Source organism: Homo sapiens, chromosome 12 (genome assembly GCF_000001405.40).
Source record: "Homo sapiens chromosome 12, GRCh38.p14 Primary Assembly".
NCBI classification, from domain to species: Eukaryota; Metazoa; Chordata; class Mammalia; order Primates; family Hominidae; genus Homo; species Homo sapiens.
In genome coordinates, this window is record NC_000012.12 from 12,376,042 (window position 1) to 12,391,811 (window position 15,770).

Below are 15,770 nucleotides of genomic sequence, written 5' to 3' on the forward strand. Positions count from 1 at the left end.
ATCCGCCCACCTCGGCCTCCCAAAGTGTTGGGATTACAGGTGTGAGCCACCATGCCTGGTCTGTAATCCTGTCTCTAAACATTTTTAGCAGTATATGAAAGTGTCAGTAAGTAAATATTTATGAACAAAAAGTCTGTTTTGATTTGCAGGATTTTCGGAACAGGTGACAATTGGGATTGCTTTGCTCTTCAGTCTTTTTTTTTTTTTTTTGAGACAGAGTCTCACTCTGTTGCCCAGGCTGGAGTGCAGTGGCACCATCTCAGCTCACTGCAAGCTCTGCCTCCTGGGTTCACGCCATTCTCCTGCCTCAGCCTCCTGAGTAGCTGGGACTACAGGCGCCCGCCACCACGCCCGGCTAATTTTTTGTATTTTTAGTAGAGAGGGGGTTTCACAGTGTTAGCCAGGATAGTCTCTATCTCCTGACCTCGTGATCCACCTGCCTCGGCCTCCCAAAGTGCTGGGATTACAGGCGTGAGCCACTGCACCTGGCCTGCTCTTCAATCTTTTTTAATTGAGGGCTTTTCTCTAACTTAAAGAATCAGTATCTTTTTATTTCAGTAAATCTTATGTTATGTCAAAATTAATTTTTCTCAGCCATAGGAGAAGGAAAAAATAAATCCAACAGAGAGTTAACAGTTACATAGGCCAAAGGCAAATTAATAATAAATGCCATAGGTCTTTCTCATATTTTGCCATTTTTAAAATAAGATGGCCTTCCTTTAGTGTAGTAATTAAATTTATAGCAGTCCTGTGTTTAACAACACTTTTACCACTAGATGTCACTAGACTAAAACAATTGGTAAGCTTGTTGAAACTGCTGCAACCTGGTGCAGTCTTTTCAAAGGCCTTTGGTTAATAAGGCTTCCTCTGTAGCACCTGCATTTCTCATAAAACTAAGTCACAGCTTGCTTCAAGCACAAGCTGATTGGGAAATATACATGTTCTGTGACACGTTAGTAATCTAGAATTACTTATTTTAGTGTTTATCAGGACAGAAAAGGACAAATCTTACTACCGGAGGAAACTTTTTAGTGACCTTAATTTTTTGGAGAGAAAACGATTTTCAGTCTATCTCTGTACTCAGAGAAGCATTTATCGTCACACCTCAGGTTTCTCAAGAGTTGAGATTTTGTCCTTTTTTTTTTTTTTTTCTCGAGACGGAGTCTTGCTCTGTTGCCCAGGCTGGAGTGCAGTGGTGTGATCTTGGCTCACTGCAAGCCCCGCCCCGCCAGGCTCAAGCAATTCTTCTGCCTCGGCCTCCCGAGTAGTTGGGACTACAGGCGCGCACCACCATGCCTGGCTAATTTTGTGTATTTTTAGTAGAGATGGTTTTCACCATGTTGGCCAGGCTGGTCTCAAACTCCTGACCTCAGGTGGTCTGTCTGCCTCAGCCTCCCAAAGTCCTGAGATTACAGGCATGAGCTACCATGCCCAGCCAAGAGTTGGGATTTTGTCTTAGACATCGTGGATTTCTTAGGGCCCAGCACAAAGCTTGGCACTTGGTAGGTACTCAGTAAATGCAATTAAGCATTAGGGTAGTATACTAGATGTCATGGGGGAAAAGATAGCTCACAGGTCCTCTGCTCTCAAGAAGTCTCATTTGGGAGATAATACATGCCCACAGCACAGGGTATTGTATGTAAACCAAATGAGTAGTGCATTCACTAGCTTCTGTAGTATTTCAGGGGATCAGTAGCTCTTGAGAGCTAGCGGTAGTGATCAAAGGTGTCCTTAAGAGAAAGCATATTTAGAGATGCAAAAGTAGGACAGTTACAAGTGAAGAAAGCAATGAGCCAAGGTTTAAGGATAGGAAAATGCAGGCAGTAAAGATTTAGAAAGATAAAAACTCAAGGGCCCTGAATTTAAAGCATACATTTAGGTTTAATATTTTTTAGGGATATTGGAGGGGACATTGAAGGATATTGGTGTGGGAAAATAATATGTTGCATGATAGTTTGTAATTTACAAAACAATAGCACTTGAAGAAGAATGAATTAAAGATGATTGCTCTTTGATTTTAAAATACTTCTGTTTTAAAGTCTATTATAGGCCGGGCACGGTGGCTCACACCTGTAATTCCAGCATTTTGGGAGGCCTAGGCGGGCAGATCACCTCAGGTCAGGAATTTGAGACCAGCCTGGCCAGCAGGGTGAAACCCCGTCTCTACTAAAAATACAAAAAGTAGCTAGGCATGGTGGCGTGCGCCTGTAATCCCAGCTACTCAGGAGGCTGAGGCAGGACAATCGCTTGAACCTGGGAGGCAGAGGTTGCAGTGAGCCAAGATCGTGCCACTGAACTGCAGCCTGGGTGACAGAGTGAGACTCCGTCTCCAAAAAAATACATAAAGTCTACTACAAACACTTTTATTTAAAAGAGAGAACATAGGCATAGGGCTTAGTATATAGTACCTCTCACTTAATAAACCCTCAGTACATGATTCTTGTTGATAGTAATATTATTAAATGAGGAAAAAATATTAGAGACATGCTACAAAATAACTAACCGGTTTTCTTTATAAGAGTCAAAGTCTTGAAAGACAAGGAACAATTGAAGAATTATCACAGATTTAAGGAGACTAAGGAGACATGCAGTGTGGGTCCTGGATTGGGTCCTAGAATGAGAAAGGATGTTAGTGGGAAAAAAGGGCACATTTGAATAGTTGTGTAGTTTAGTTGATTATATTGTAGCAGTGTTAATTTCCTGGTTTTGATCATTGTATTGCAGTTACATACTATGTTAATATTAAGGGGAAGCTGCTGAGGGTGTAGTGGTGAGATCATGACTCACTGCAGCCTCGACCTCCCAGGCTCAAGTAATCTTCCTGCCTCAGCCTCCTGAGTAGCTGAGACCACAGGTGTGTGCCACCACTCCCAGCTAATATTTTTAATTTTTTTTGTAGAAATAGGGTTCCGTATGTTGCCCAGGCTGGTCTTGAATTTCTGGGCTCAAGGGATCCTCCCACCTTTGCCTCACAAAGTGCTTGGGATAATAGGCATGAGCCATTGCACCCATCTGGAATCCTATACTTTATGCAACTTTTCTATTTCTTTCTTTCTTCTTTCTTCTTTCTTTTCTCTTTTTTTTTTTTCTTTTTGGAGGCAAAAATCTTGCTTTGTTGCCCAGGCTTGGAGTGCAATGGAGCGATCTTGACTCACTGCAACCTCTGCCTCCCGGGTTCAAGTGATTCTCTTGCCTCAGCCTCCTGAGTAGCTGGGACTACAGGCACGTGCCACCATGCTTGGCTAATTTTTGTATCTTTAGTATGGTTTCACCATGTTAGCCGGGCTGGTCTTGAACTCCTGGCCTCAGGTGATCCGCCTGCCTCAGCCTCCCATAGTGCTGGGTTTACAGGCATGGGCCACCACACCTAAGCCTGCAACTTTTCTTTAACTTCTTTTGCTTTTTTTAAACTTCTTATTCAAAAATAGTAAGTTTAAAAATACAATTTTGTTTTAGAAAAGATTTCAATTTTGTATTTGAACTAAGTTATCTACTGAGAGGTCGGATGTCAACAGAAAGAATTTAGAATCTCCTACCCGACAGAGCTTTTAAGATCCACTAAAGCCCATTAAGCAATCCACTAGAATAGCTTAAGGCAAGAGTGGGTTCCCTTGAAGACCCAGAAGTAGAACCTCTGAGGTGCTTCCTTGATTAGGCTTTGTCTCAGTGGAATGTTGGAGCTAGTTTGATTGTCTATCCAGACCATTAAAACTTTTTATGTCAGCACTAGGGCTGTTTTTGCCTTTGTGTGTTCACTGGAGTAGCACTTTTAATTCCCTTTAAGAACTTGTCCTTTGCATTCACAGCTTGGCAAACTGGTGCAAGAGGCCTGACTTCTACCCTGTCTTAGCTTTGAACATACCTTCCTCACTCTAGCTTTTGATTTAAAGTGAGAGATGTGCAATTCTTCCTTTCACTTGAACACATAAAGACCATTGTAGGGGAATTCATTGGCCTGATTTCAATATTATTGTATTTCAGGGAGTAGGTCCAAGGAGAGGGTGATAGCCGGGGGAATGATTGGTCCGTGAAGCAGTCAGAGCACATGCAACACTTCTCAGTTTAAGTTTCCTGTTTTCTATGGGTGTGGTTTGTGGTGCCCAAAACAATTACAATAGTGACATCAAAGATCACTGATCACAGATCACCATGACAGATATCATAATAATGGAAGTTTGAAATATTGCAAGAATTACCAAAATGTGACAGACATGAAGTAAGCACCCTGCCACAAATCTTCAATTTGTAAAAAAAAACACAGTATCTGTGAAGCACAATTTAAAAAAAATTTGAAGTGGAATAGAATGAGGTGTGCCTATATATGGAAGATGGCTTGATCTAATCAGAGATAAAAAGAGATGAATGAGGACCATATCAAAATTATTTCCAGTTTGCAGTTAATTCTGCTCCCAGTCTCCAGTCCTAGGCAACCACAGGCCAGCTTTTCTGGACACTTCATCTAAATGGAATCATACAATACATACTCTTTTGAGTCTGACTTCCAGTTTTTGCCTGTTATGAATAATGCTGCTATGAACCTTTGTGACCATGTGTTCATGTGAATGTGTTTTTATTTCTTTTGGGTGGATTCTTAGGAACGGAATTGGTAGGTTGTATGGTAACTTTGTGTTTACTTTTACGAAACTGCCAAACTTTTTTCAAAATTACCATTTTACATTCCTTCCAGCAATGTATGAGAATTCAGTATTCTCTTTATTTCTGATTATAGCCATCAGAGTGGTTGTGTAGTGGTATCTCATTATGGTTTACATTTACATTTCTCTAATGATGTTGAGATTATTTTTGTGTGCTTGAAATACCTGTTCAAATCTCTTATCCATTTTTAAATTGGGTTTTTAACTTATATTGTATTATAACAAGTTCTTTATTCTGGATACAATCTCTTAATCAGATATATGATTTGCAGTATTTTCTCCCAGACTGTGACTTTCTTTTCATTTTTTGGGGGATTTTTTTTTTTTTTTTTTGAGACCGAGTCTCACTCTGTCGCCCAGGCTGGAGTGCACTGGCGCGATCTCAGCTCACTGCAAACTCCACCTCCTGGGTTCAAGCAGTTCTCCTGCCTTAGCCTCCCAGGTAGCTGGGATTACGGGTGCCTGGCTCATTTTTGTGTTTTTAGTAGAGACAGGCTTTCACCATGTTGGCCAGGCTGGTCTGGAACTTCTGACCTGGCTGATATTTTTTGAAGTACAACTTTTTTAATCTTGATGAAGTTCAGTGTATCAATATTTTTAATAAAGATTTCTCCTAGAAGTTTTATAGTTTTAGTGATTGCATTTAGGCCTGTGATCCTTTTTGGATTACTTTGTGTGTGTTGTGTAAAGGTCTAAGTTCATTTTGCTTTGTTTGTTTGCTTGTGGTATCCAGTTGACCCTGTACCATATGTTGAAAAGATTGTGTTTTCCCTTATTGAATTATCTCAGCACCTTTAAAAAATGACCATAAATGTAAGGGTTTATTTCTGGACTCTTAGGTCTGTTCCATTGATCTGTCCCATTTTTAATTTCGTGGATTGTACTTTGGTGTTGTATCTAAAAAGTCATCACCAAATCCATGCTTACCTAGATTTTCTCTTGTATTACTGCTTAGGACTTTCATAGTTTTGCATTTTACATTTAGGTCTGCGATCCATTTTGACTTAATTTTTGTGAAAGGTATAAACCATATGTGCTTTTAAAGACTATATAGTCTGCAGTCATTGGGTAGAGAGTTTTATATATGTCAGTTATGTTGGTTGATAGTGTTTTTTGAGTTTTGTATATTCTTACTGATTTTGTCTTTAGTTTTATCAATTGAGAGTGAGGTACTGAATTATTAACCTGTTTTGTTGAATTGTGTATTTTTCCTTTTGATTCTGTCAGTTTTTCCTTCATTTGTTTTGAGGATATGTTGCTGGTGTGGATACATTTAGAATTATTATATCTTCATGATGTAACAACTTTCATCATTATGAAACACCGTTCTCTAATATTACTCTCTGTCTTTATTTCTATTTTATCTAATATTAATAGAGCCATTTGTGTTAGTCCACTTTGAGTTGCTATAAAGGAATACCCGAGGCTGGGTAATTTATAAAGAAGAGAGGTTTATTTGGCTCACAGTTCTGCAAGCTGTATAAGAAGTGTGGCACCAGCATCTGCTTCTGGTAAGGACCTCAGAAAACTTTCAATCATGGAGGAAGGTGAAGGAGGAGCAGGCATGTCACATGGTAAGAGAGGGAGACAGAGGTGGGGGAGGTGCCACACTCCTTTAAACAACCAGTTCTCCCATAAACTAATAGAGGGAGACTTGCTCGGTACTACAGGGAGGCACCAAGCCATTCTTGAGGGATCTGCTCTTATGACTCATACATCTCCCACTAGACCCCACCTCCAACATTAGGGGCCACATTTTAACATGAGATTTGGAGGGGACAAGTATCCAAATGATATCACTATTCTGTCTTTCTTATGGTTCTATGATGGTATATATCTTTTTTTTTTTTTTTTTTGAGACAAAGTCTTGCTCGACAGGCTGCTGAAGTGCAGTGGCGCGATCTCAGTTTCCTGCAACCTCTGCCTCCTGGGTTCAAGTGATTTTCCTGCCTCAGCCTCCCAAGTAGCTGGGATTACAGGCGCGTGCCAGCATGCCTGTCTAATTTTTGTATTTTTAGTAGAGATAGGGTTTTGCCATGTTGGCCGGGCTGGTTTCGAACTCCTGACCTCAGATGATCCACCTGCCTCGGCCTCCCAGAGTGTTGGGATTACAGGTGTGAGCCACCGTGCCCAGTGGGTATGTATCTTTTTTTATCTGTTTGCTTTCAACTCTTTTGTGTCTTTGAATCTAAGGTGTGTCTTTTGTAAATAGCATATAGTTGGATCTTGATGTTTCATCCAGTCTGACATTCTCTACCTTTTGATTGAGGTATAAAAACCATTCACTTTTAATATAGTTATTGATCTGGTTAGATTTGCCTTTTTATTATTTCTTTTCTATACATTCTTGTCTATTTTGTTTCTCTGTTCCTCCTTGACTGCCTCCTTTTATATTAAATACATATTTTTAGTTTACTGTTTTAACTGTTCCATTGATTTTTTTTAACTATGTATTTTTTGGAGTTGTTTTCTTAGCAGTTGCTGTAGGGATTACAGTGTACATGTTAATTATCAGAGTCTACTTCAGATTAATACTAACTTAATTCTGGTAAAATATATATGCTTTGCTCCATTATAGCCTCATTCTTTCACCCTTTTTTGTGCTATTATTCTCATGTATAATATCTGTATATATTTGTAAACCCAAAACACAGTGTCATAGTTACTTCCTTAAGGATGTTTGTCTTTTAAAGAAGTTAAGAGAAGGTGTGAATAAAAATATATTTGTAGAATCTTCTGTGTTAACTCACATATTTACAATTTTTGGTGTTCCTCAGTTCTTCTTGGACTTCAGGTCCCCAACCGTTGTCACTTCCTTTTACCCTGAAAAGACTTTTGTTAGTATTTAATGTTACAAATTCACTAGCAGATTTTCTCAGTTTTTGTTTATCTAGGAATGTCTTTGTCTTTTTTTTTTTTGAGGGATAAATTTGATTGAAATGGAATTTTTGGTTGACAATTTTTTTCCCCCAGCACTTTATATATGCCATTCTACTCTCTTCTAGCCTCCATTGTTTCAGACGAGTTGCTTTTCTCTTGCTCATTTCAGGATTTTTTTTTCCTTTAGCTTTCCATAGTTTGTGATAAGTCCAAGTTTTGATCTCTTTGTATTTATCCTACTTGGGGCCTTTGAGCTTCTTGAATGTGTGGATTAATATTTTTCATCAGATTTGGTAAGTTTGTCTCTTCTTTCCTTCTGGGATTTCCATTATGCATGTGTTGGCATGTTTGTTGTTGTTGCACAGATCTCTAAGGCACTGTTTTATTTTCTTTAATCTTTTCTCTTTGTTCTTTAGATAATTTCTATTTTCAGGTTCACTGATTCTTTTTCCTGCCATCCCCAAATTGCTATTGAGTTGCCCCAGTGAATTTTTCATTTCCATTATTATACTTTTCAACTCCAAGATTTCTGTTTGGTTTCTTATTTTTAAAAATTTTATGTATGTATGTATTTGTTTGTTTGTTTTGTAGAGACAAAGTCTCATTATGTTGCCCGGCTGGTCTCAAACTCCTGGGCTCAAGCAATGTGCTGACCTTGGCCTCCCAAAGTGCTGGGATTACAGGTGTGAGCCACCGTGCCTGGCCTGCTTTTTAAAATATATATATAATTTCTGTCTCCTTATAGGGAATCTGAATTTGTAGATTCATTGTTATATTTTTCTTTCTTTTATTATGATTTTCTGTAGTTCTGTGAGCTTATAATTGCTTTGAAATTTTTGTCTGCTGTATCTAGTATCTTCAATACTCAGAGGCAATTTCTATTGACTGCATTTTTTTCTTGAGTACGAGTCACACTCCTGTTTCTTTGTAGGTCTTATAATTTTTTTGTTAAGAACTGGGCATTTTAGATAATATAGCAGCTGTGGATTCTGATCCTCCCAAATTGCTGTTGTTACTTTTTTGTCTGTTCATTGCTCTTTGTTTAGTAACATGTTTGTCAAACCTGTGAAATCTTTTTCCTGTGGTTTGTGGCCATTAATGTCTCTACTTTTCCACCCCACACCCTCCTTTTTAAAAGACGACAATCACTTTATTATCTCTCAGATTTCTGTGGGTCAGGGATTCTGGAAGGGCTCAGCTGGGCAGTTCTGACTTTGTTATGCAGCTGCAGTCAGTTGGTGGCTGGAGCTGAAATAACAGGGGCTGGAGCAGCTGGGGGCCGTCTGGGCAGCTCTCTTTATTTGTGTAGTCTCAGGTCCTCTCCATGTGTCTGCTTGCTTTTTAAACTTGCTTATATCTTTACATCTGCTTTCCTAGGGGTTGTCCATATGTCTGCATGGGTTAATAGTCAGTTATTGATCAGAGGTTGTACTTAACCACCTTGATCAGGAAGGCTTCTGTCATCTGTAAATGGCTCTGCGTGGCAGGGTAGCACATTCAAAGTTCAGGCCATTTTCAAATCTTATCTTTTGTTCACTGCTGAACCCTTTCACCTCTCCCCTTGGAATACACACACCCTCAGTGTCAGCTAGGAGCACGTGACTGGTTGCACCCTTTCAGGTCTCTGCTGCAAATGCATACAGCCTTAGCTAGGAGTAAGCTTGCCCTGACCACGACCACAACCTCGTGTTAGTATAGCTTTTGGCACTTTCCACTTGCCCATCTCTGAGATAGTCAATTCTACTGATGACACCGCTGGATGTGGATGCTACCTATTGTTCCAAATAAGTCAGCAGCCGCTTCCTGCTAAAGCAGGAAAGCTTCCTGTTCTCATTACCTGTCCCATTCTGGTACAACATCTGCTTCAACTGAGGCAGGAAGGTTGGGAGAAGCCTCACATCTCAATGACACAGATTCTCACTATTTTTACCCAAGTTCTTTTTTTTTTTTTGAGATGGAGTCACACTCTGTCACTCAGGCTAGAGTGCGGTGGCACAATCTCGGCTCACTGCAACCTCCAACTCCCAGGTTTAAGCGATTCTTCTGCCTCAGCCTCTGAAGTAGCTGGGACTGCAGGAGCACACCACCATGCCTGGCTAATTTTTGTATTTTTAGTAGAGACGGGGTTTCACCATATTGGCTAGGCTGTTCTCAAACTCCTGACCTCGTGATCCGCCTGCCTCGGCCTCCCCAAGTGTTGGGATTACAGGCGTGAGCCGCCACACTTGGCCAAGTTCATTCATTTTTAAGGCATAAATGCTTCTCAAATTTTTATATGCCATTGGTTGATTTTCCAAACCTCAAAATGGTTTGAATTATGTTTGAATGGTATGAATTATGTTCAGCTTTATAGTTACCTTTTGCAGAGAGGATATGTTGATCTCCTCATTTGGATTTATCAAGAAGTCCCACTTGTCTGTCCATGTGGTTTTTTTTTTTTTGGAGATGGAGTCTCACTCTGTCGCCCAGGTTGGAGTGCAGTGGCGCAGTCTTGGCTCACTGCAACCTCTGCCTCCTGAGTTCAAGCGATTCTCGTACCTCAGTCTCTTGAGTAGCTGCAATTACAGGTGTGTGCCACCATGCCTGGCTAATTTTTGTATTTTTAGTAGAGACAGCATTTCGCCACGTTGGCTAGGCTGGTCATGGACTCCTTGCCTCAAGTGATCCACCTGCCTCGGCCTCCCAAAGTGCTGGGATTACAGGTGTGAGCCACTGTGCCTGGCCCCCCATTTGCTTTTAATCTAGCTTTTAAAGTAGCCAGCATATAGTTGTCTTGCTGTTTTATATATGTTGAAAATCTGTCTTTTTAATGATATCTTTAACACTCTTAGATTTAGTGTAATTTCAGTGTGGTGGGGTTAAAGTCCACTGTTGCTATTTTTTTTTTTTTTATTTGTTCTAGTTCGTTCTCTTTTTTTGAGACAAAGTCTTGCTTTTTCTCCCAGGCTCTAGTGCAGTGTTATGATCTTGGCTCACTGCAACCTCTACCTCCTGGGTTCAAGCAATTCTCCTACTCCTACCTCAGCCTCCTGAGTAGCTGGACTACAGGCACGTGCTAGTTTTTTGTATTTTTCATAGAGACAGGGCTCCACTATGTTGGCCAGGCTGGTCTCGAACTCCTGACCTCAAGTGATCCACCTGCCTCGGCCTCCCAAAGTGCTGGGATTACAGGTGCCAGCCACCGTGCCCGGCCTTTGCTCCTGTTCTTTATTCCTTCCTCCCTGCCCACCCATACCTTTTTCTGTCTGCTTTAGGATTGAGTCTTTTTATGTTCCAATATTTATCTGCACTGTTGGGTTATTATTTTTATGTATGAATATATGTATTTTTTTTCTAGAGTGCAGTGGCACAATCATAGCTCACTGTAACCTTGAACTCCTGGGCTCAAGTGATCCTCTAGCCTCAGCCTCCTGAATAGCTAAGACTACAGGCATGTACCACCATGCCCAGCTAATTAAAAAAAATACTTTTTTTAGAAATGTGGTCTTATTGTGTTGTTAAGACTGGTCTCAAACACCTGGCCTCAAGTCATCCTCTTGCCTCAGCCCCCTGAGTAGTTGGGATTGCAGGTTTGAGCTCTCATGCCTAGCAAGATTCATTATGTGGTTGTATCAATAGTTTGTTCCTTTTATTGTTTCCTTCTTATGGATATACCATAGACTGTCTATCCATTTGCCAGCTGAAGGAATCGGGGTTGTTTCCAGTATTTGGTGATTATAAGTAAAGCCAACATAAGTTTTGTGGCAGTTACAATATATGACAGAATTGCTTCCCAAAGGATTTAATAAACTAATTCATAGTAAAAACAATACTATCTGAGCATTTCCATTTCATAATATCCTCTTCAACACTGGGCATTACTTAAGGATTTGTTTTCTCCAAAATGGAAGTATCTTTTATTCTGATCATGAAAGTAACACGTGCTCATGATTTTATGTCACTCAGCCCTCTGATCCGAAACCTAAATATACTCCATTTTGTCTCTTTTGTTAGAGCATGACCCCCAGAATTGGCATAGTGTTCCAGGTGTGGATTGGATCCAGTGTCTTTTCTGCATGATATATTCCTTTTAATACAGCCCAAGTTTAAGTAGCTTTTTTGGCAGCCACATGCACTTGAGTCATATCGAATCATCTAAAACTCTAAAGTGTTTTTCACATGTGCTGACATTAAGCCACACCTCCCCCATCCTGTATTTCTGCAGATAGTTTTTGGACCTTCAGTGAAAGACTCACATTCATCCACAGTTCAGTGTCACATGTAGCCTCAGTTTCTAGCTTGTTGAAGCCTTTTTTGAATCCCCACGATTAACACACCATGAGGGGCCTCACTCAAGTCATTAAAGAATGTTTAACACGACAGAACCTAGGTCAGAGATCCAGGGAAAAGCTCATCACAGTCAACAGACACAGAACTCTTTCTGTTAAGAATACTTTTTTATTTTCCAGTTTCTAGTTGGTATTTTTGTGGGAAGTAAATTGCTATCTCATATGCGATTAGTGAGAACTAACATTTGTGATTATTATATTAATTGAGACTCTTTTTGGTATCTGATTATCAGTACCATGCTTATTATGTATATCATTAATGCAGTTTTTATTGTGGTATTTTATCACCACAAACTGTATTTATTACTAGTCTATACTTATTTAAAACATTGAAGTGTTTTTCCTGAGACTTTAAACCACATCCTAAGACCACACTTCCCAAACATATGGTAGCAGTGACCAGAGACATAAAAATCACACCATTGATGAGAGAGTAATGATTCTAAGACCTGCCCCAAACCTCAAATAGGATAGCAATGTCATGGCTGCTCCTAATTTAGATGGGACGAAATCAACAAAAAGGAACTGCTGGCCGAGGATAGTTAATATTCAAAAGCAAAAGAAATGTATCTGTAAATAAGGAAGATAAATCTCATTATAATATCCACTGCTTTTTTTTGGATGTGGTCTTCCAGCAGTAGTAGATAAGTATATTATTAATGAAACAATTGTGTTAGTGTTCCATAATTATACAAAAAGGGAAAATAGGACAAGGCATGAATAATTAATGAAAGGAAACCAGACTCTTAAGTGGGGTGGGGGGGACATATAAGAAAAGGTAACAGCCATCTGTGAGTCTGGTCTGAGGACCAGAGGATGGCTGACATTTTTGGGGCCAGATAGACTATCTTTCTGCTGTTCTTCTCCTTTCCTGGCAATATACTGGAAGAGATTGAAACAGAACATCAAGGCAACCCCACACATGAGATGGAAATTTAAAAAATGTTCCAGATATGAGCATAACTCCCTAAGCCATTCTTTTAGCAATGGTTGAAGCCAGTCCTCTGACTTGCAGTAAGTTCTCGCAAGAGGCTACAGTTCCGAGGCCTATTTATTTTGGCCTCATTTTTATCCCTACTTTTACTTTGGTGACATTCCTTGAGTCTCACTCATTCCAGCATAGGGACAGGACACAGGTTGTTGAGGCAAATACTATGGGTTCATATAGAAAGTACCAGATATTAACTATCTCTGGCCAGAGTTTTTCCCCTAGGTCCTTACAAGTAAGTACTTTTTTTTTTTTTTTTTTTGAGACGCATTTTCATTCTTGTCGCCCAGGCTGGAGGGCAATGGTGCGATCTCGGCTTACTGCAAACTTTGCCTCCCAGGTTCAAGGGATTCTCCTGCCTCAGCCTCCCAAGTAGCTGGGATTACAGGCGCCCACCACCACGCCTGGCTAATTTTTATATTTTTAGTAGAGACCAGGTTTCTCCATGTTGGCTAGGCTGGTCTCGAACTCTTGACCTTAGGTGATCCACCCGCCTTGGCCTCCCAAAGTGCTGGGATTACAGGTGTGAGCCACCACTCCCAGCCAAATAAATATATTTTTAATGCACATTTACAATTCTAATTAGTTTTATATACCTCTGCCAGTATCTTTTAAGCCCAACTGAAGTTATGTGATTCCTCTGCAGAATTGGTTGCTCCATCCTGCCTACAACCAATTCTGATGCAGGTATGAGCTCCTCAGCTTGAGGTGAAGATCTCAAGCAGCCTTTATCTTAAAAAATTTATTTCGTTTTATGTATTTATTTTTTGAGACAGAGTCTCGCTCTGTCGCCCAGGCTGGAGTGCGGTGGCATGATCTTGGCTCACTGCAAGCTCTGCCTTTCGGGTTCAAGTGATTCTCATGCCACAGTCACCCGAGTAGCAGGGATTACAGGCACATGCCGCCACACCCAGCTAATTTTTGTATTTTTAGTAGAGACAGGGTTTTGCCATGTTGGCCAGGCTTATCTTGAACTCTTGACCTCAAGTGATCTTCCTGTCTCGGCCTCCCAAAGGGCTGGGATTACAGCCATGAGGCACTGCGCCTGGCCTCAAGCAGTCTTTAAATCTTCATTTCCCACTGTGTGCTTTGTATTGAGCTCCAGGCCAAATCGGACTGTTTTCTTTGCTTTCCCACCTCTAAACTTTGCCCATGCCCTTCTATCTGATAAAAAGCCATCTTTTCCACATAGGCCTGCTAAAATCTTTTCATTCCTTTAATGATTCCTTTTTAGATTCCTTTAATCTATCATTCCTTCAAGATTTTGCTTGTTCATTTGTTCAGCAAATATTTGAGGGCTGCTATGTGTTAGGCACTGTTCTAGGAGGTGAGGGTATAGCCAAATACACAATCTCTGCTTTCAAAGAGCTTACATTCTAATAGTTCATCCCACTAGAAGGCAAGTTTGTCTTAGACCATCTCCTTCATTATCTTTTTTACCTTTCCTAAATTGATACAATCTTTACATAGATCATGATGAGGAAGGAGGTAATATATTTGAAGTGACCACTGTGGCCAAGCACAGAACATTGCAAAATGCTTTAATTTTAAAAGCATGTGTCCTAAATGTAGAAGGAAGGATAACTAGAAATACAGAAAGTTATGGTCAGAAAGCCGGGGGTGGTGGCATGTACTTGTAATTACAGCTACTTGGGAGGCTGAGGCAGGAGGATCACCTGAGGCCAGGAATTTGAGACCAGCCTGGTCAACATAGCAAGACCTTATCTCCTTTTTTTTTTTTGACCTTATCTCAATAAGGTGGATGCACCTGTAGCCTCAGCTACTTGGGAGGCTGAGGCATCAGGATTGCTTGAGCCCAAGAGTTCCAGGCTGCAGTGAGCTATGACTGCACCACTGCACAGCAGCCTGGGTGACAGAGCAAGACCCTGTCTCTTAAAAAAAAAAAAATTATGGTCAAAGCAAAAGCAGTAATAAGTAGGATGACCTTAGATGATCCACCTTCCTTGGCCTCCCAAAGTGCTAGGAGTACAGGCATAAGCCACCACGCCCGGCCTAAACTGCCATTTTTAATGAATTGTAAAGAACAGAAGAGGTACCAGAAGCTTAGAAATAGAAAAAAGTACACGTTAAAAGGGGAGGCGGGTAATTGAACGAGGGGCCATGATTTCAAAATTTCCATCCATTGGTTCCAACTCTGTGCCTTCAGCGCTTGTTCTCTTTTAAAGTATTGATAGACTACTATTGTGCATCCAGTCAGTCTTGTTTTGTCACACTAAAAATTTCAAGATAAGTCCATAACAGGAGCATAAGTAAGATACTGCAAGGTTCTGACCTTGGCCTCAACCTTACTCAAGATCATATCACTTAGCTTGGTTCCTGCCATACTTAGCAAAGGACCCTATACATGCTAGATACTTATTGAAGATTTGTGGACTGGACTTAAATAAAGAGGTAGAGGCATATCAATCACATTGGTAGGTGGTAAAGTGTTGGACAGAATATCTGACACAATGGATGACAGAATCAAGGGTCAAAATGACCTTTTTTTTTGAGACAGAGTCTAGCTCTGTCACCTAGGCTGGAGTGCAGTGGCATGATCTCGGCTCACTTCAACCTCCACCACCTGAGTTCAAACCATTCTCCTGCCTCAGTCTCCCAAGTCGCTGGGACTACAGGTGCACGCCACCATGCCCGGCTAATTTTTTTGTATTTTTAGTAGAGACAGGGTTTCACCATGTTGGCCAGGCTGGTCTCGAACTCCTGACCTCAAATGATGCGCCCGCCTTGGCCTCCGAAAGTGCTGGGATTGCAGACGTGAGCCACCACGCCTGGCACAAAATGATCTTAACAGACTGAAAAGATGGTCTGAAACCACAATGACATTTAAAAGCAATACAGCTGGGTGCAGTGGCTCATGCCTGTAATCTCAGCACTTTGGGAGGCCAAGGTGGGCAGATC

The 15,770-nt window shown here is 40.7% G+C and overlaps 1 protein-coding gene across 6 annotated transcripts in view, besides 1 other annotated feature; it reads left to right on the forward strand.

Annotated features, from left to right (window-relative positions):
• The window catches only part of BORCS5 (BLOC-1 related complex subunit 5), a 114,156-nt gene that overhangs the window by 18,964 nt on the left and 79,422 nt on the right, over positions 1–15,770 (forward strand). The gene's annotated exons all lie outside the window — the stretch shown is intronic.
• Positions 5,154–5,448: an enhancer, noted in NCBI's record as "tiled region #10643; HepG2 Activating DNase matched - State 5:Enh". NCBI's record gives its function as "activates a minimal TATA promoter and a strong SV40 promoter by Sharpr-MPRA in HepG2 cells {active_cell/tissue: HepG2}" and the evidence as "EXISTENCE:reporter gene assay evidence [ECO:0000049][PMID:27701403]".